At 38.5% G+C, this 19,845-nt stretch overlaps 1 protein-coding gene across 4 annotated transcripts in view, besides 1 other annotated feature; it reads right to left on the reverse strand.

The window, feature by feature from the left end:
- P4HA1 (prolyl 4-hydroxylase subunit alpha 1) overlaps positions 1–19,845 on the reverse strand; it is an 89,650-nt gene that overhangs the window by 67,339 nt on the left and 2,466 nt on the right. For 3 of the 4 annotated variants that reach the window (NM_001142596.2, NM_000917.4, NM_001017962.3), the window contains exon 2: positions 253–360. In NM_001142596.2, the coding sequence (NP_001136068.1) occupies positions 253–328 (76 nt within the window). In that variant the 5' untranslated portion in view covers positions 329–360. Of the gene's footprint in view, positions 1–252; positions 361–3,165; positions 3,259–19,845 lie in introns of all 4 variants that reach the window. The other variant, NM_001142595.2, reaches the window with a different exon arrangement.
- Positions 2,517–2,586: an enhancer, noted in NCBI's record as "active region_3554". NCBI's record gives its function as "activates an Ori minimal core promoter by ATAC-STARR-seq in GM12878 lymphoblastoid cells {active_cell/tissue: GM12878}" and the evidence as "EXISTENCE:reporter gene assay evidence [ECO:0000049][PMID:35858748]".

A 19,845-nucleotide genomic window follows, 5' to 3' on the forward strand; every position in this document is an offset into this window, starting at 1 on the left:
TATATTACTTGTATATCTGTGCACTGAAAAAGACTAAGTATATGCATTAAATTATTTTAACTTCAATATGTATCATTTTTGTAATAAAAAATAAAGAAAATGTCAAATTATTAAAAAAGGACCTTTTAGGGGGCAGGGAATAAACCTATACTCTAGGAATACACTGTATTTGTTTTTGCTGATTTTAAAACACTAAAAAATGGAAATTAAAAAATGCAAAACCAACAAAAAACAACAAGTAGTAAGACTTACCAATTGAAGTAAAAAAGCCTGGATGAGCCAAAGACTGGGGAAGCAGAATTCCTATAATTAATATATACCAGATCATCTTGGAAGATTTAATTTTACAGGATCACACACCTACAAAAGAAAGAGAGAAATGCAGCCATTACTTAAAAAATACAAAGAGAAGGAAAAGTTCCTTATCTATTATTTCTATGAAAAAGTAAAAGATTCCAAGGTTGCCCATAAAATTGATGTTAGTTATTATCAATTGTTTAATAATAGCTACTATCTTGTTTTTCATATAATGAGAGTACTACCATGACATTTCTTTTTTGTGTTTTTCTCTTTTGAAACAGAGTCTCTGTCGCCCAGGCTGGAGTGCCATGGTGTGATCTTGGCTCACGGCAACCTCCACCTCCCGGGTTCAAGCGATTCTCATGCCTCAGCCTCCTAAGTAGTTGGGACCAAAGGTGTGTGCCACCACACCCAGCTAACTTTTTGTCTTTTTAGCAGAGACAAGGTTTTGCTATGTTGGCCAGGCTGGTCTCGAACTCCTGGCCTCAAGTTATCCACCCGCCTCAGCCTCCCAAAGTGCTGGGATTATAAGTGTGAGCCAACGCACCCATATTAGATAAAAATGTATGTTTGTTATCACCTGATAATTTATGCTTAAAAATTCAAGCTGAGTTTGTTCTCCTTAGTCACTATTACAATTAGAGTAATTGAATAGTAGGTGGCTTTTTCATATAGCCTGAAAAATAAGTTTTCTCTGTGATTTAGACCTATCCTATGACTTTCTCATAAAAATGTACCAACTTATCAATTTAAATATTAAATATTACCAATACATTTTCAAAATGTTAGAATACATTTTAAAGGAAAAATATTTCAGAGCTTTCTGTTAATCCTTAAAATTCCTAATTTGTTCCATCTTTTTCATATATATTTTATATATATATATAGTGTGTGTGTGTGTGTGTATGTGTGTATGTGTGTGTGTGACAGTCTCAAAACTCCTGACCTCAGGTGATCCGCCCACCTCATCCTCCCAAAGTTCTAGGGTTACAGGCGTGAGCCACGGCACCCGGCCCATCTTTTTCCTATATAGCTTAACTTTTTAAAATAAATTCAATCAAAAGTTGTAGATTTGGGGTCAATAAAATGTTCTAAAATTGACTGGCCAGGCACAGTGGCAGGTGCCTGGAGTCCCAGCTACTTGGGAGGCTGAGGCAGGAGGATCACTTGAACCCAGGAGTTCAAAGCCAGCTTGGGCAATACAGCAAGACCCCATCTCTAAAAAACATGAATAAATAAAATAAAATTGACTGTGGTGACTGATGGTGGAATGACTCTGTGAAAGTACTAAAAACCATTGAATCATGAATACTAAATGGGTGAATTATAAGGTATATGAATTATATTGCAATGACACTGTTCTCTTGGTTTGACTTAGTTTGTTTTTTTAAGAGACAGGGGTCTTGTTATGTTGTCCAAGTTGAACTCAAACTCCTGGGCTCAAATCATCCTCCCACCTCAGCCTCCTGAGTAGCTGGAAATACAGGTCTGTACCACTGTGCCTGTTTTTTTTTTTTTTTTAAGTTGTAGAGAATCCAAAACGAATAAACAGCCATGTCCATTTAAACTAGTATTTTCTCTCAAAGGACCCAGACTTCAGTTTTGTTTCTCTTATCAACTGTGTTCTATGTAAAAAAAAACTTAGCCTAAGACATGTCTATGGCCTCTTTTCTTTTTTTAAACCTGGCAGCAAAGCCCATTAGTGTTTTTCCTCTATATCCATGATAGCACCGTCTTTTCTAGTGAGGATTCTTCATGGCAGATGAGGATATAAACTAACCAACAGAAAGGCTTTACCTCACTTTCCCAGATGCCCTGCTAGCACTCTTCTCTTGCTCCTTCTCCCCTACAAACATGAACTTTGTCTTTCTTATTACCTTACAGGAGAATAAGTTACATTACAGTATAGTTTGCCCCAGTAACAGGCTCCCATTAGTTACCCTGACTTGTCAACCTGTTTCTCTTTGTGCAGGCCCCTCTGACTCGTCTTCCTATGTGACGTGAGCTAAACCAAAAGGCTCAGGTTCAAATTGAAAGCTCCCCGTTCTACAAGAGCTAAAAAATAACCCCACTGCCCCCTAACTTGAATCTCAATAAAAACAGATCACCACAAAAACTGGAAGTACTCCCTAGTCTCCTCCCTCGAGTTTGCTGCAAACTTCCAGTTACTTCCAGAACCACACAGTAAGGAAATACACTGCTCTTTTGGCTACCTTACAGTGATTTGGGGAAGGCTTCTAGAATGTAGCAGATGTAGACACTTCCTCTCCTGGGCTCCTGCCAAAGCACAAGGCTTTTTGAAAAGCCTGAGCTGTCTGAAGAAGAGTCTAGAATTTTCTGTTTAAACATACTTCTATTCTAATTTTCTTCATGGATAAATGCTATTTGCAGAAAATACAAATGTTTTCACTGTTAACAGAAGGCTAATCACAAATGTTGTCTAAACTTTTAACTCTGATAAGAGAGTTTAGATTTGTCAGAAAAGAGGTTATTTTGCCATTGCTAAAATATATTGTCACTAAAGTTTTTTTGTCATCTTTCATTGTCCTTAAATCTCACAAGGAATTAAAAACCATTAGCCTACAGAAATAACTAAAAAGCAGCTTAAGATGGTATTTTTCTTCGAATAGCTTGAAAATATTTTAAGAATGACAGAGCCTACATAAAAATTCAAAACAATCGTAAAAAGAATAAATATCTTTACCTTACATAATGTTTCAAAATGAATTCTAGGATGGATTAAATAGTTATAATCAACAAAACAAAGTAAAACAAATAGCAACAACAGAATAGTTATCAGATCTCTAAAAGCAGAGAATTTCTAAACTTAAAAATAAGAAAATGCCTGGGCACAGTGGTTCACACCTGTAATCCCAGTACTTTGGGAGGCCAAGGAAAGAGGATCACTTGAGCTCAGGAGTTTGAGACCAGGCCGGGCAACATAGCAAGACTTCATCTCTACAAAAAAAAAAAAAATCAAAAAATTAGCTGGGTACGGTGGCATACACCTGTGGTCCCAGCTACTTGGGAGGCTAACGTAGGAGGATCACTTGAGACCAGGAAGTTGAGGCTACAGTGAGCCATGATCTTGTCACTGCTCTCCAGTCTGGGCAATAAAGTGAGACCCCATCTCAAAAAAAAAAAAAAGAGAGAAAGAAAACAACCTATCAAAAGCCAGATGGAATCTGAATACACAAAATAAGCTTATGTGTCAAAAAAAAAAAAAAAAAAACCTTTAAAACTCAAACTAGAAAACCATTTAAAGAAAATAGAGCACTTTTAAGGAGTTCATACAAATCAATAAGAAAACCACTAAGATGTTAATAGACAAGTAGATATAGAACTTGGAACTCACAAAAAGGAAAAGTAGTTAGCTCAACAAAAAATGCTCAAACTTATTAGTAATTAATGACACAAAATAAGAAACCATTTTTGCCCATCAAGTGAACAATTAACAAGCAAAATTATTTAATGTTGTTATATGCCAAGAAACTTAAAATGAACACATCCTTTAACTTGTAGAGTTAAATGAAAAAACAAGATTTAAAAATTATCATACAACCTTGGTGGAATCTATATTGACTAAGATTATGTTTTCATTACCCCAACACAAAGTTATAAATAAATTAACACTGGTCAAAACGAAGAAAAATTAACATCATAATACAGTCATAACTATGCAAGAACATATGCAGAGGAAATTCACCAAAGTGTAATTGTCTCTGGTTAGCAAAGCAGTAGGTAATTTTTTTTTTTTTTTTTTTTTTTTTTTTGGAGACAGAGTCTCATTCTGTTGCCCAGGCTGGAGTGTAGTAGCGCAATCTCAGCTCACTGCAACCTCCGCCTCCCGGGTTCAAGCGATTCTCCTGCTTCAGCCTCCCAAGTAGCTGGGATTATAGGCACCTGCCAACACGCCCAGCTAATTTTTGTATTTTTAGTAGAGACGGGGTTTTGCCACATTGGCCAGGCTGGTCTCAAACTCCTGACCTCAGGTGATCTGCCTGCCTCGGCCTCCTAAAGTGCTGGGATTACAGGCGTGAGCCACCGCGCCCGGCTGGTAATTTTCTTTTATATCTCTGTATTTTCCAGACCTCCTATAATATATTTTTATAGTGACAAAAAAATTAACTTCGTACAAAATAATAAACCTAAAGCATTAACTCTCATATTAAGATACCCTAAACTTTTAAAGAAGTAGTTAATTACTCTCTAACAAAAGAGTAGCTAACAAATAATATAAGGTTTTGAGCATGTTCCATCTTGTAGTTCTATAAGCCTCTACATTTCACTTTCTCTTTTTCAAAGATACTTAAGCCTAAACTGGGTGCAGTGGCTCATGCCTATAATCCCAACACTTTGGGAGGCTAAGGTGGGAGGATCACTGTAGGCCAGGAGTTCGAAACCAGCCCAGGCAACACAAGGAGACCCCAACTCTATAAAAAATTTTTAAAAATAGCCAGGTGTGGTAGTAGTCCCAGCTACTCAGTAGGTTGAGGCTGGAAGATCACTTGAGCCTGGGAGGTAGAGGCTGCAGCGGGCCATGAATGTGCTACCGCACTCTAGCCTGGGTGACAGAGACTCTATACCCGTAAAAACAACAGTAAGGCCAGGAGCGGTGGCTCACGCCTGTAATCCCAGCACTTTGGGAGGCCAAGGTGGATGGATCACCTGAGGTGAGGAGTTCGAAACCAGCCTGGCCAACATGGTGAAACCCCGTCTCTACCAAAAATACAAAAATTAGCCGGGCGTGGTGGCAGGCGCCTATAATCCCAGCTACTCAGGAGGCTGGGGCAGGAGAATCGCTTGAACCCAGGAGGCGGAGGTTCCTGTGGGCTGAGATCTCGCCATTGCACTCCAGCCTGGGAGACAAGAGTGAGACTTTGTCTCAAAATAAATAAATAAATAAATAACAATAAAAATAAAAATAACGATACTTTGAAAGCAACCCTATTATCTAGCAGTGAACTAGGCTGCCAAAGTAGCACACTTTCCCATTCTATTTCCTCCTACACTTAGATATAAGACCCAGACTAGGTCAATCATTGACTTTCATTCTCATTAACATAACGGTTGAGGGATGGCCTTGTGAATGGTAGAAAGCAGCTCTTTCTGGAGTTGCTAAGCTCAGAGGATGTGAACTTGGGGCTCTCCTGTGACCATCTTTCTCACTTGTCTAGGATCTATAAACAGGACAAAGTCATACAGAGACAAACAGTTTCAACCCCCAGGGCCCTGATTCTTTGCAACTATTGCTTTGAATCTGTAAGCTACTACAATAATCTCCCAGCCCACCTAAGAAAGCCTTTAAATTCCTTTTTGCTTAAGCTAATTCAAGTTGGATTTCTGTCACTTACAATAGGAAGTTCAGACCCATACAACATTATTCCAAACTAACATGCCTACCCAAGCTAGATAATAAAAATGAAGATAGACCTATATGGCAGTGCTTCTCAAACTTTAGCTCTATCAGAATCACCTAAAGGTCTGAAAAGTCGAGATAATTTGCACAAGTTTCCAGGCAATGCTGATAGTGCTGGCTGGGGGATCACAGTCTGAGAACCACTGGATACAGCAAACAACCCTATGAAATCACCTCTGCATTTAAAATAGATTTTACTTCAATTTATCTTATGTAAAAGTACAACTGAATGTCTAATTACTCTAGAGAATGGTTCTCTAATCTGTTTTAGCACTATGTCTCATTCATCCACATTCATTCAGAAACTTTAAGTGACATGTTAATAGCCAAACGTATCAATCACAGGTTTTTTTAACAATGGTTTCTAGCCGGGCATGGTGGCTCACACCTGTAATCCCAGTACTTTGGGAGGCAGAAGCGGGCAGGCAGATTGCTTGAGGTCAGGAGTTTGAGACCAGCCTGGCTAACACAGTGAAACCCCGTCTCTACTAAAAATACAAAAAATTAGCCAGGCATGTTGGCACACACCTGTAGTCCCAGCTACTCGGGAGGCTGAGGCAGGAGAATCACTTGAACCCGGGAGGTGGAGGTTGCAGTGAGCTGAGATTGCGCCACTGCACTCCAGCCTGGGCAACAGAGCGAGACTCCATCTCAAAAACAAAAACAAAACAAACAATGGTTTCCTTATGGTGTCTCACTTCTATTTATTCTACCTTCATTCAGAAAGCAGCTTGCAAAGAGAATCATTATAGAACATTTAAGAGTCAAGTATCCCAAAAGACATTATGACTTTATCAAAAATTATAAAATATAAATGCCTCCTGTTCTAAATATTCAAACAAGCTTGAAAAAGAAATTAATGGGTCAAAATGGATGCAATCTCCTTTAAAAGAAAGACTAATCTCAGATAGCATCCCTGAAAAGACTTGTCTTAATTTTTAAAAAGACAAAGAGGAGGGAGGGAGGAGGAATAGGAGGAAGAAAGAAAAGAAAACCCAAGAAGAGTCAAAGATCCAAAGATAAACTTACACTGGAATAAAACTTGGTGTTGCAACAGTATGAATAAGTTATTGATAATATTTAGGTTATTGGTTAGATAGGTTCAAAAGTGTTTATTATATAATTTTTGTAACATACATGTATATTACTTATAATGTTTGGTAGCATATTACATTTTTTAAACTATAAGAAAAAAAGCAGTATGGAAGAAATCCTACCAGAAAACATTTTCAGGTAGGCCTGGATAAAAATAAATGTGAAGTTTACATTCATCCAAACACAAAACTTTCCTACAGTTCTTATTCCAGGGAAGTCCAGTCCCACAGACTCAACAGGTCAATCAAACCTGGGAACAGATCTTAAAAGTTCTACCATATAGTAAATACAAATGATCCCCAACATAGGACAGTTTGACTTAGGATTTTTCAACTTTATGATGGTGCAAAAGTGATATGCCATTCAATAAAAAACATACTTTGGGCCAGGCACAGTGGCTCACGCCTGTAATCCCAGCACTTTGGGAGGCGGAGGCTGGCGGATCACGAGGTCAGGAGTTCGAGACCAGCCTGACAAACAGGGTGAAACCCTGTCTCTACTATGGGCGTGGTAGCGTGTGCCTCCAATTCCAGTAACTCAGGAGGCTGAGGCAGAAGAATCGCCTGAACCTGGGAGGTGGAGTTTACAGTGAGCCAAGATGGCACCACCACACTCTAGCCTGGGCAACAGAGCGAGACTCCGTCTCAAAACAAAAACAAAACATACTTTGACCCCACAACCATTCTGTGGTTCACTTTCGGTACAATATTCAATAAATTACATGAGCTATTCAACACTTTATTATAAAATAGGCTTTGTTAGATGATTTTGCCCAACTGTAGGCTAATTTAAGTGTTCTGTTTTGAGCATGTTTAAGGTGTGCTAGGCTAAGCTATGATGTTCATCTTACAGTATTTTCAACTTACAGTTGGTTTATCAGGACACAGCCCCATAAGTCAAGGAGCATCTATATTTACATTGAGTTATGAGGAGTCATTGAATTTTAAGTACAAGTTATCCAGTGAATTACTAGGACAGGGCATCTGGTAAATAATTCTATTAGCGTTTTGGTCAAATATTTTTCTTCCAAGAAAAAGTTGTAAAATTTTCAAAAGTTTATATCTCCCAGACAAATCATTCAAAAATTAATAAGGCAGACTAAAGAGTGCTTGATATTCTCTTTTTTTAAGCTAGTCAAGTAAAGCAATGGGAGTGCAGAAAAAACAAAGAAACCTGTAACTCATTGTGATCAATTAGTTGTAAACACCATTGCACTTGGTCCAGCCAAGAATGCTTGATATTCTAAACTAAACTTTCTCTGACACTTAAAATTTTCCACAGGGGTTCTTTTAACCTTCGACACTTGTTCCAAACCTTCTTTTAGAAGGCTCCAACTTTATTTTTCCTCATACAGATCCCTTATTCAACTGTTGGTCCTCCTGAAATCTGTTTCAGACTTTTAATGTTTCTGACAGTTTTCATGGTCAACACAAAAGAACACCACAAATTCAGGCTCCTAAATCAGGCCATTATAATGTGCTTATGGTGTCTCACTTCTATTTATTCTACCTTCATTCAGAAAGCAGCTTGCAAAGAGAATCATTATAGAACATTTAAGAGTCAAGTATCCCAAAAGACATTATGACTTTATCAAAAATTATAAAATATAAATGCCTCCTGTTCTAAATATTCAAACAAGCTTGAAAAAGAAATTAATGGGTCAAAATGGATGCAATCTCCTTTAAAAGAAAGACTAATCTCAGATTATGTCAAAACTTGGCATGTCTTTTCCATCTTAACAGGATGTATCTTCCAAGACAAGTAAGAGTAATTACTAATAGAATTAGTTATATTTCTGTTCTTCCCTATAATCCCTCTGCAAATTGCCATTGTTTTTACTTAACTCCATGAATTCCAGTCATACTTCTGTTCTTAAAAGAAGAGTGAGCTACATGTCTAGTACTTACAATCTGATGGACAAATACTTTAATGCTATGACCAACTTTTCTATCACAAATTCAGAAATCACGCTAGCTTCTTTCCCTCACTTTCTGTACTAGGGTAGTGAACTGTACTGAGCAGTATTGTAGCACTTATTGGCATAATTCCAAATGAAAAGCATTTCAAGATTCATATTAGAAGTCAGCTCTAAGTTAAGATATTGCCCTTAACTGAAAGTGCTACACAGGCTGTCTTTTGGAAGTTCTTCCAAAGTCCTAAGTCTTTCCTGTCAGAAAGAACGTTAAGATGAGATCATTTCAAAAACACACACTTATGTTTTGCTTATGACACCTCCTCCACCCCTTTTCTCTTTCTTCAAGAAACTGACCCCTTTTACCTTTTTCTGGCACTCTATTCTACCTTTAATTCATCCCCATACAGCATGATGCTTATCCCTAACCAAATGGCTATTCAAAGTTCTAGTAGTTCTGAATGCCTGAACTACATAAAGTTCAAGTGACAGAGTGGAACTTGGTCTCAAAAAAAAGAATATATTTGCCTACATATGTAACAGGTTTTTTAAATTTAATACAATAATTAAAAGAACTCAAAAAAATGTTAAATGAGAGGTGGAATCACAGTTGTTTTTCTCTTCCCTCAACATCTACACTTCTTTGATAAACATTTTTAATTTAAAAAAATTCTATTTCTGTAAATAAACAAGCTAACAAAAAAACAAAGTTTAAGTAAATAGATAAATCATAGAGTTAGCAAAATCCCAAATGATGAATTCCACAGCTCTGCTTCTAGCTGGCATAATACCACCATCAATCCCTTTTGTTCCCAAACAAATTTCACCTATTTTTGATTTAAACAAGAAGTTCTGATAAGACAGCTTTGGTTTTTTCACCACCCTAAGGATACAAGTAAAAAGTTTAAAAGTTTTGTACAATATGCACTTTAGATTTCTTAAACTTAAATATAAATTATGAAGTTAAGTAAGGCAAACAATTCCAAATTCAGAAGTTTTCATGAAACTTCATTCAAGACTAATTGTATTGTTTGGGGGTCTGGCTTTGTTGCCCAGTCTGGAGTGCAGTGGAGCAATCACAGCTGACTACAGCCTCGACCTCCAGGGCTCAAGTGATCCTTCCACCTCAGCTTCCTGAGTAGCTTGGACTACAGGGCTTGTGCCACCACGACCGGCCAATTTTTTAAATTTCTTTTATTTGTTGTAGAGTTGGGATCTCCTTATGTTGCCCAGGCTAGTCTCCAACTCCACCTCCAGGCTAGTCTCAAGCAGTCTTCCCGCCTGAGCCTCCCAATGTGCTGGGATTACAGATGTGAGCCACCGTGCCCAGACCAAGATTGAATTTTATATAGCAGTTATACTACTTGAAAAATGACCATTTGGGGAAAAAAACTGGCATTCTCTTTAGAAAATGACCGTTATATACAAAGAATAACCAATCACAGGAAACAATTTTAAAAAGCTCATTTGCAACAGCAACACTTAATTACCTGGGAATAAACAAGATAACTGTAAATTTACCCTAAAATTAACACATTAAGACCATTTTGAAGTTTAAGACAATAAACTGGCCAGGCTTGGTGGCTCATGCCACCAAGGTGCAATCCCAGCACTTTGGGAGGCCAAGATGGAAGGATCACTTGAGCTCAAGAGTTCGAGACCAGCCTTGGCAACATGGTGAAACCCAGTCTTTACAAAAAAATAAAAAAATTAGCCGGGCATGGTGGCATGCTCCTATAGTCCCAGCAACTCAGGAGGCTGAGGTGGAAGGATTGCTTGAACCCAGGAGGCAGAGGGTACTATAAGCCATGATTGTGCCACTGCACTCTAGCCTGGGTGACAGAGTGAGTCCATCTCATTTAAAAAAAAAAATTATTTTCATAACCTTGGATTAGGCAATTAATCATAACGCCTAGGCAATAGTTTCTTAGATATGACGCCTAAAGCACCAAGAAGCCAAAGAAATAAATAAATTGAACTTTGCCAAAATCTAAAACTGCTGTGCTTCAAGAAAGCGAAGACAATGTAAAAAAGTATTTGCGAATCACATTTCCGATAGCATCAGGTTTAGTATCCAAATATATAAAGAACTTAGAACTCAATAATTTTTTTTTTTTTTGAGACAGAGTTTTGCTCTTGTTGCCCAGGCTGGAGTGCAATGGCACAATCTCAGCTCACTGCAACCTCCACCTCCTGGGTTCAAGCGATTCTCCTGCCTCAGCCTCCCGAGTAGCTGGGATTACAGCCATGTGCCACCACGCCTGGCTAATTTTGTATTTTTAGCAGAGACGGAGTTTCTCCATGTTGGTCAGGCTGGTCTTGAACTCCCAACCTCAGGTGATCTGCCCACCTCAGCCTCCCAAAGTGCTGGGATTACAGGAGTGACCCACCGCACCCGGCCAGTGATTTTTTTTTAATGGGCAAAGGATTTGAATAGACATTTCTCCAAAGAGGCAAGTACATGAAAAGATGTTCAACATCATTCATCACTATGAAAATGCAAATCAATTCCACAATGAGATACCACTTCACTGCCACTTTGATGGCTACAGTAAAAAATGACTAGCTGGGTACAGTGGCATACGCCTGTAGTTCTATCTACTTGGGAGACTGAGGCAGGAGGATCACTGGAGTCTAGGAGTTTGAGCATATAACTGCACTATGATTGCACCTGTGAATGGCCACTGTACTCCAACATGGGCAACATAGTAAGACTTCATCTCTTTAAAACAAAAAGTGACACACAATTACAAGTATTGACAAGGACACAGAGAAACTGGAACTCTGATACATTGCTGGTAAAAACGTAAAATGAGGCAGTTGGTCTGGAAAACAGTTTAGTTCCTCAAAAAAGCTGAACAGAATAACCATATGGCCCAGATATTTCACTCATAGGTCTATACCCAAAAGAAATGAGAACACATGCCCAGGCAAAAACTTTTGCATGAATGTTCACGGCAGCAGCATTATTCATAATAGCCAAAAGGGTGGAAATAACCCAAATATCCATTAGTGGGTAAACAAAGTGTGGTCTATCCGTACAATGGAATATTATTTGGCTATAAACAGAAATGAAGTACTGATATATGTTATAACACAAATGAACCTTGAAAACATTAAGTAAAATAATCTCTAGAAACAAAAAGTAGATTAGTGGTTGCCCAGGGTTAGGCAAGGGACAATGGGAGTGACTGCTACTGGCTCTGGGGTTTCTTTTTGGAGTGATATAAATGTTTTAAAATTGATTGTTGTGGTAACACAACTGTGAATATATTAAAAGCCACTGAAATGTATACTTTAAAGGGAAAATTGCATGGTACGTGAATTATTACTCAATAAAACTGTTTTAAAAAAATTAAAAAGAAAACAGGCTGGGAGCGGTGGCTCACGCCTGTAATCCCGGCACTTTGGGAGGCTGAGGCAGGCAGATCACTTGAGGTCAGGAGTTCAAGACCAACCTGGCCAACATGGTGAAACCCCATCTCTACTAAAAATACAAAAATTAGCCAGGCGTGGTGGCACATGCCTGTAAATCCCAGCTACTTGGGAGGCTGAGGCAGGAGAATTGCTTGAACCCAGGAGGTGGAGGTTGCAGTGAGCCGAGATTGTGTCACTGCACTCCAGCCTGGGTAAAAGAGTGAGAGTGCATCTCAAAAAAAAAAAAAAAAAAAAAAAAAAGAGGAAATCAACCTAAGTTCTCATTTCACTTGGGTAAATACCTAGGAGCGGGAATGTTGGGTCATATGACAAGTATATATTTACCTTCATAAAAAACTGCCAAACGTTTCTCCAAAGTAGCTACACTATTTGCCCTTCCAACAGCAAAGGATGAAAGTTTCCATTGCTCCCATTCTTACCAGCATTTTGTATTGCCGTTTTTTCCTTAGTTTCTCTTAATATCTTAATTTTCACAATAGACATATAGTACTATCTCATTATGGGTTTAATTTGCAATTCCATAATTACTAATGATGTTTAATGCCTTTATTTTTTTTTTTTTTTTTTGAGACAGAGTCTCACTCTGTCGCCCAGGCTGGAATGCAGTGGCACAATCTTGTCTCACTGCAACCTCCACCTCCTGGGTTCAAGTGATTCTCGTGTCTCAGCCTCCTAGGTAGCTGGGATTACAGGCACGTGCCACCACACCTGACCAATTTTGTATTTTTAGTAGAGACGGTTTCGCTATGTTGGCCGGGCTAGTCTTGAACTCCTGACCTCAGATGGTCCACCCACCTCAGCTTCCCAAAGTGCTGGGATTACAGGCATGACCCACCATGCCTGGCCTATGTTTAACACCTTTTGGGGTGTTTATCTGCTGTTCATACACCTTCCTGCATAGTGTCTACTCAAATCTTTTGCTCTTTTTAATTAGGTTGTTTACTTTTTTTAATAGAGATGGGGTCTTGCTATGTTGCCCAAGCTGGTCTCAAACTCCTGGATTTTCAAGCAATCCTCCAGTCTTGGCCTCCCAAAGTGCTGGGATTACAGACGTGAGCCACCATGCCCAGCTTTGAGTTCCTTATACAGTCTATTTTTTGTCAGATATGTGATGGGGAATATTTTCTCCCAGTCTGTGAAGTCTTTTTATTCTCTCAACAGTGTGTTTGGAAGAGCAGAATTTCTTAATTTTGATGAAGTCTAATTTATCAGTTTGTTCATTTATGAATCATGTTCTTGGCATCATGTCCAAGAAATCTCTGCCTGACCCATGGTCAAAAATATTTTTGTCCTATGTTTTCTTTCAAATATTTTATAGCTGTACATTTTACTTCACAATCTATGAACATTTTTTAAAATAGAAACGGGTCTCACTCTTGCCAAGGCTAGTCTCAAACTCCTGGGCTCAAGCAATCCTCCTGCCTCAACCTCCCAAAATGCTGGGATTACAAACGTGTGCGACCAGACCCGGCCTACGAACCATTTTGAACTAATTTTTGCATACAGTGTCAAGTACAGATTGAGGCTCTAATAAAAAGATTTCATTTTGATGTTTGAGTGCAGATTGCCTTCAGGTCCCACACCTCTCTCCCTTTTGTCCCACATCTGGGTAAGTCTGTAAGAAAGCCCAGGTACTCCCTCCCTTGGTATTGGTGTAAAGTTGAAACCATATAAATACCACACTTGGGGACCAGTATTCCCTCCCTTGGTACTGGTGTGAAGTTGAAACCATGTAAATACCACACATGGGGACCATCAAACAAGTTCCACCTTCTGGTCAATAAAAACCAAAGCCACCCACCCTGTTTCACTCTTGCTTCATCCTGGACTAAACCTAAGTCCTTGACCTTGAGGAGTCCTTTTGCTGTTTACTGTGTGATTAAACTTTATTTCATATCCACTGGTGGATTCATGTCACTTGTCCCAATATTCACATAAATTCCTGGGCAAGGGACTGCCCAGTGTCCAACAGTGGATACTTGGTGCCCAAATAAAACAAAGATTGTTTTTTCTTTGCATATGAATATTCAACTGTTCCAGACTATCCTCTGTTGAACTGCCCTTAAACTTTTTCAAAATGAATTGACAATTTTTGTGTGACTAAATTCTCTATTTTGTTCAATTGATCTGTATGTCTATCTTTTCTCCAATACCACAGTCTTGGTTATTGCAGCTTTAAACTAAGTTGAAATCAGGTAGTATGAATCTTCCAACTTTGTTATTCTTTTTCAAAATTGTTTTAGCTTTTCTAGTTCCTTTGGTTTTCCATATTAATTTTAGAATCGGCTCATTAATTTCTATAAGAAATCCTCTGAGATTTGGACTAGAAATGTGCTGAATCTATAAATCAGTTTGAGAAGAGTAGGTATCTTAATACTGAGTCTTCTAATCCATGAACATGATATAATCAGTGTTTCATAATTTTCAACATACAAATATTACACACCATTTGAAAAGTTAATACTTAAGTATTTCATGGTTTTTAGTGCTAATGAGATGGGAATTTTTCACTTTAGTTTCTAATTGTTCATTATTAGTATATAGAAATACAATTTACTGTTGTATATTGACCTTCTAAGCTACAACTCTGCTGAATTAACCTATTCACTAGAGCTTTTTTGAAGAGTCACAGACATGTTGTCTGTGAATAGAAACTGCTCTTTGAAGCACACTGTTTAAAGAATGAAGACAAGCCAACAACTGGGAAAAAATATTTCCCTATCACATCTAGCTATTGCACTCCTAGGCATTAATATAAGAGAAAAGAAAGCATATCTCTCTCCAACAACTTGTACATGAATGCTCATAGCAGCTTTATTCATAATAGTCAAAAAGTGAAAACAATCCAAATGTCCATCAAAGGGTAAATGGGTTAAAAAAAATCATGGTATATTCATAAAATAAAATACTATTCAACAATAAAAAACTATGAACACATAACAACATGGATGAATCTCAAATTATGCTGAGTGTAAGGAGATTCCCCGTGCTAAAAAAAAAAAAAAAAAGCGTATATACAATTCCATTTTTATAAAATTCTAGAAAATAAAAACTAATCTTAAGCAACAGAAAGGAAACAATGGTTTCCTAGGGATACAGAGAGGGTAGTAAGGAGCAAAAGAAGGGATTACAAAAAGTCATAAGGATACTGCCGATGCCCCGGCTAGAGTGCAGTAGCGTGATCTTGGCTCACCGCAGCCTTAATCTCCAGGCTTTGGGTGAGTCTCCCACCTCAGTCTCCCAAGTAGCGGGGACTGCAGGCACACAACACCACACCTGGCTTTTTAATTTTTTTGTAGAGACAGGGTTTTACCATGTTGCGCAGGCTGGTCTTGAACTTCTGGGCTCAAGCAGTCCTCCTGCCTCGGCCCCCCAGAGTGTTGGGATTACAGGTGTGAGCCACTGCGCCTGGCCAAGTATACTCTTTTTTGAGACAGAGACTCATTTCGGTCACCAGGCTGGAGTACAGTAGCACAATCACAGTTCATTGAAGACTCAACCTCCCCAGCTCAAGCAATCCTCCTGCCTCGGCCTCCCAAGTAGCTAGGATTACAGGCAGGCACCATCACACCCAGCTAATGTTATTTTATTTTGTGTAGAGATGAAGTCTTTCTATGTCGCCCAGGCTGGTCTGGAACTCCTGGGCTCAAGCAGTCCTCCTGCCTCGGCCACCCAAAGGGTTGGGATTACAGGCCTAAGCCACTGTGCCTGACCTTGAGGATACTCTTGAAGGTGATGGATATGTTCCTTATCTTGATTGTACTGATATTTTTTTAAGTAGATATTTTTGTCAAATTTATCAAATTGTACACTGTAAATATATGCAATTTGTCCTGTCAATTTTGCTCAATAAAGTCGTTAAAATATATCAGTTTATTCAATTTATTAGTAATCACCCTTATATCAAAGATTAGTGTTTTACTTATTACTATCACTCTACTTGGTGGCAATGGTCACTATTCACTATTTTCAAATACAATATTAAGGTTTTTTAAATTCAGGCATAGTAAATTGAGGTCTATTTTCAAAATATCTTTGAGGTTAAAGGAAGTAACTGCAGGCCAGGTGCGGTGGCTCATGCCTGTAATCCCAGCACTTTGGGAGGCCGAGGCTGATGGATCACCCCCGGTCAGGAGTTCGAGACCCGCCCGGCCAAGATGGTGACACCCTGTCTCTACTAAAAATACAAAAAAGTAGTCGGGCGTGGTGGCGGGTGCCTGTAATCCCAGCTACTCGGGAGGCTGAGGCAGAGAATTGCTTGAACCCAGGAGGCAGAGGTTGCCGTGAACCGAGATTGCGCCACTGCACTCCAGCCTGGGTGACAGAGTGAGAGTCCATCTCAAAAAAAAAAAAAAAAAAAAAAAAGAAGTAACTAAATTTTGAAATCATGTAAATTTGAGAATGTCTTCATGTAACCTTTGACTATGAATATGTTGCCTGAGTTTACCAAAAAAATAAATAAATAAATAAATAAATAAATAAAAAGGAGGAAGGTTGTCAGAACCATAGGGCAAGAACAAAGGTCACACACACAAGTAACATTTTGAGGTCCTAAATTCAACCAGTAGGTTTTAGAAATACCAACTTTTTTTGTTTTTTTGAGACAGGGTCTGGCTCTGTCACCCAGGCTGGAGTGGAGTGGAACAATCAGAGCTCACAGCAGCCTTGAACTCCTGGGCTCCAGAGATCTTCCCACCTCAGCCTCCCAAAGCACTGGGATTACAGATGTGAGCCACCACGCCTAGACTAAAATAAACATTTCTTGATCATATTTTTGGAGAAATTAGATATGCAAATCTAGTTAATATAAGATTAGAACTGTAAGAGAAGTCTTGAGCCTACTTAAAATCAGTTAATCAATATTTAATTTATTGTTGCAGACACATGTAACAGGATATCTGATGCTTCATACACTGTTCAATGCCTTTTAATTTTATGACTTGTATGATAGTTCTCGGCTATTCATTCTTGGGTTTTACTGAAGTTCCAAAAATCAAAGAGCTTTGATTCTTGTAATGGAAATATCTAGAGAAACTTGTGTTTAACTGACTCGGCAGAGATGAAGGCCAAATTCTCATATGTACCTATAACATTACTCAAATACTATTCTTAGTACAAAAAAGTTAAATATACTCTTATCTCTGAACATGAGCTATTCAGACCAAGGCCACTCAGGTCAGAGTAGAATACTCAAAAGCTGGCTTTAGCAGTCCCTTTCCTCCTAAAAAATGGATTATTGCTCTGAGGCCCAGGTATACTCAGCTTCATCCCTCCCAAGGCTATTCTGTCAAAATTCCACTTTTATTTCCACCCAGTCTACCTCTTTCTAGTCTTCAATTATCTGTTTACTCTAATGCCAGATCCAAATTTCTCAAGTTGAGGTAAAGAGAGACAAAATAAGACCATGTATACTAGAACAGGGAAAAATGAATTCATGGTTGTAGAGGATGTGAATCTAGATATGCATTTCCATTCAGTGCTACAGATTTAATATCTAGTAAAATGTTAGCCACATGGTGCTATATCATGTAATTTTTATGTCCTACTTCTCCTATGAAACATTTCTCATCATTCTTGATTTTCCTACAGTCTACTGGCCATATTGTAAATAATTTTTTTTTCTTTTCTTTTTTTTTTTTTTTTTTTTAGAGACAGGGTCTTGCACTCTCACCCAGGCTAGAGTGCAATGGTGCTATCATAGCTCACTGCAGCTTCCAACTCTTGGGCTCAAGCGACCCTCCCACCTCAGCCTCCCAAGTAGTTAGACTACAGATGCATGCAACCTCATGCCCCCTTAATTAAAAAAAAATTTTTTTTGTAGAGAGATGGGGTCTCACTATGCTGACCAGGCTGGTCTTGAACTCCTGGCCTCAAGTGATCCTCCTGCCTCGGCCTTCCAAAGTGCTGTGATTACAGGTGTGAGCCACCATGCCTGGGCAACATAGTAAGGCCCTGTCTCTAAAAAAAAAAAAATTTAAATATAAATTTAAAAATTAAAAAATTGGTTAAAGTTTACTGTAATTATACAGGTTGATAAAATAAACCACTAAATTACAGTCCTCTCTTTGCACTACTTATAATGGAGAAACAGCTCAAGTGTCCAACAAGAGAGTAAGGATGACCAGGCATGGTGGCTCACACCTATAATCCCAACACTTTGTGGGGCAGATGGGAGAATCACTTGAGGCCAGGAGTTCGAGACTAGCCTGGTCAACAGAGCAAGATCCCATCTCTACAAAAAATTAAAAAATTAGCTAGACATGGTGGCATGCATCTGTACCCCGAGCTACACCCGGAGGCTGAGGCAGAAGGATTGCTTGAGCCCAGGAGTTCAAGGCTGCAGTGAGCTATGGTCACACCACTGCACTCCATCCTGGGCAACAGAGCAAGATCCTATCTCTTAAAAAAAAAAAAAAAAGAGAGAGTAAGGCTGAGTGTACTAATTCCACATAATATTACTATTTAAGAAAGAAATGAGTAATATGGACACATTTTTATGAAACACTAAACATGAGGAAGAGAAAGGCCCAATATAGAACTCATTCACTGATGACAACTAGGTAAGAAGTCTGAATCTCTATAATGTATTTTTAGCAAATGTCAAATCAAATATACTAACAGTCATACTGATCATCCAAAGGAAGACCAGGAAAAAGAATGTTTTTCACCACACCGAGTTTAAAAACTGCTGGAGTAACCTAAATGAGAGTCCTTTTGAATTGCCAAAGCTTTTCTTTAGGTACAATACTTATTCAACTAGAGAAACTGAAGCTGTCCTAATGACAGGACAGCTTCAATTTATACAAATAAATTTTCTTGAATAGAAACACAAAGCTTTGGCCGGGCACGGTGGCGTGATCACACCTGTAATCCCAGCACTTTGGGAGGCCAAGGCGGGCAGATCACGAGGTAAAGAGATCGAGACCATCCTGGTTAACACGGTGTAACCCCGTCTCTACTAAAAATACAAAAAATTAGCTGGGCGTGATGGTGGGCGGCTGTAGTCCCAGCTACTCGGGAGGCTTAGGCAGGAGAATGGCGTGAACCCGGGAGGTGGAGCTTGCAGTGGGCCGAGATTGCACCACTGCACTCCAGCCTGGGTGGCAGAGTGAAACTCCATCTCAAAAAAAAAAAAAAAAAAAAAAAAAAAAAAAATATATATATATATATATATATATATATATATATACACACACACACACACACACATACTCATTTTATTTGGATTTTTTATATATATTCATATATTTATACACACACAACACATTATGGTTTAATTACAAGATTCAAGATCTCACTGCAAGAAAAGCAATAAAGTTTAATGCCAAGAGCCTATGCAATTTATTTTTGTTTACTTCCAAGCCTGTTCCACTTTCAGAATGGAAAACCAAAGTTAAGTTACCATATATAGGAGAGGGCATGCAATGTGATATACTTTCACAGACTAGACAATTTAGCATTTCAACAATTCTAACAACCTATTAACTTTTGTTAAAACCCTTTTGGCAAAAATGTATTAGGGTCACCCACATATACAAGTCCAGTCAGACTTACATGCCCAGCTCGATTTTCAGAAACATTCAATACTGCCTCAAGACACCTAGATACCCTTAGAGAGTAACTTCACATCTCTTACTTTTTAGGGGTTCTTATAATAAAGTTCATGAATGGACTTGAGTGG

Source organism: Homo sapiens, chromosome 10 (genome assembly GCF_000001405.40).
Source record: "Homo sapiens chromosome 10, GRCh38.p14 Primary Assembly".
Lineage (NCBI taxonomy): Eukaryota > Metazoa > Chordata > Mammalia > Primates > Hominidae > Homo > Homo sapiens.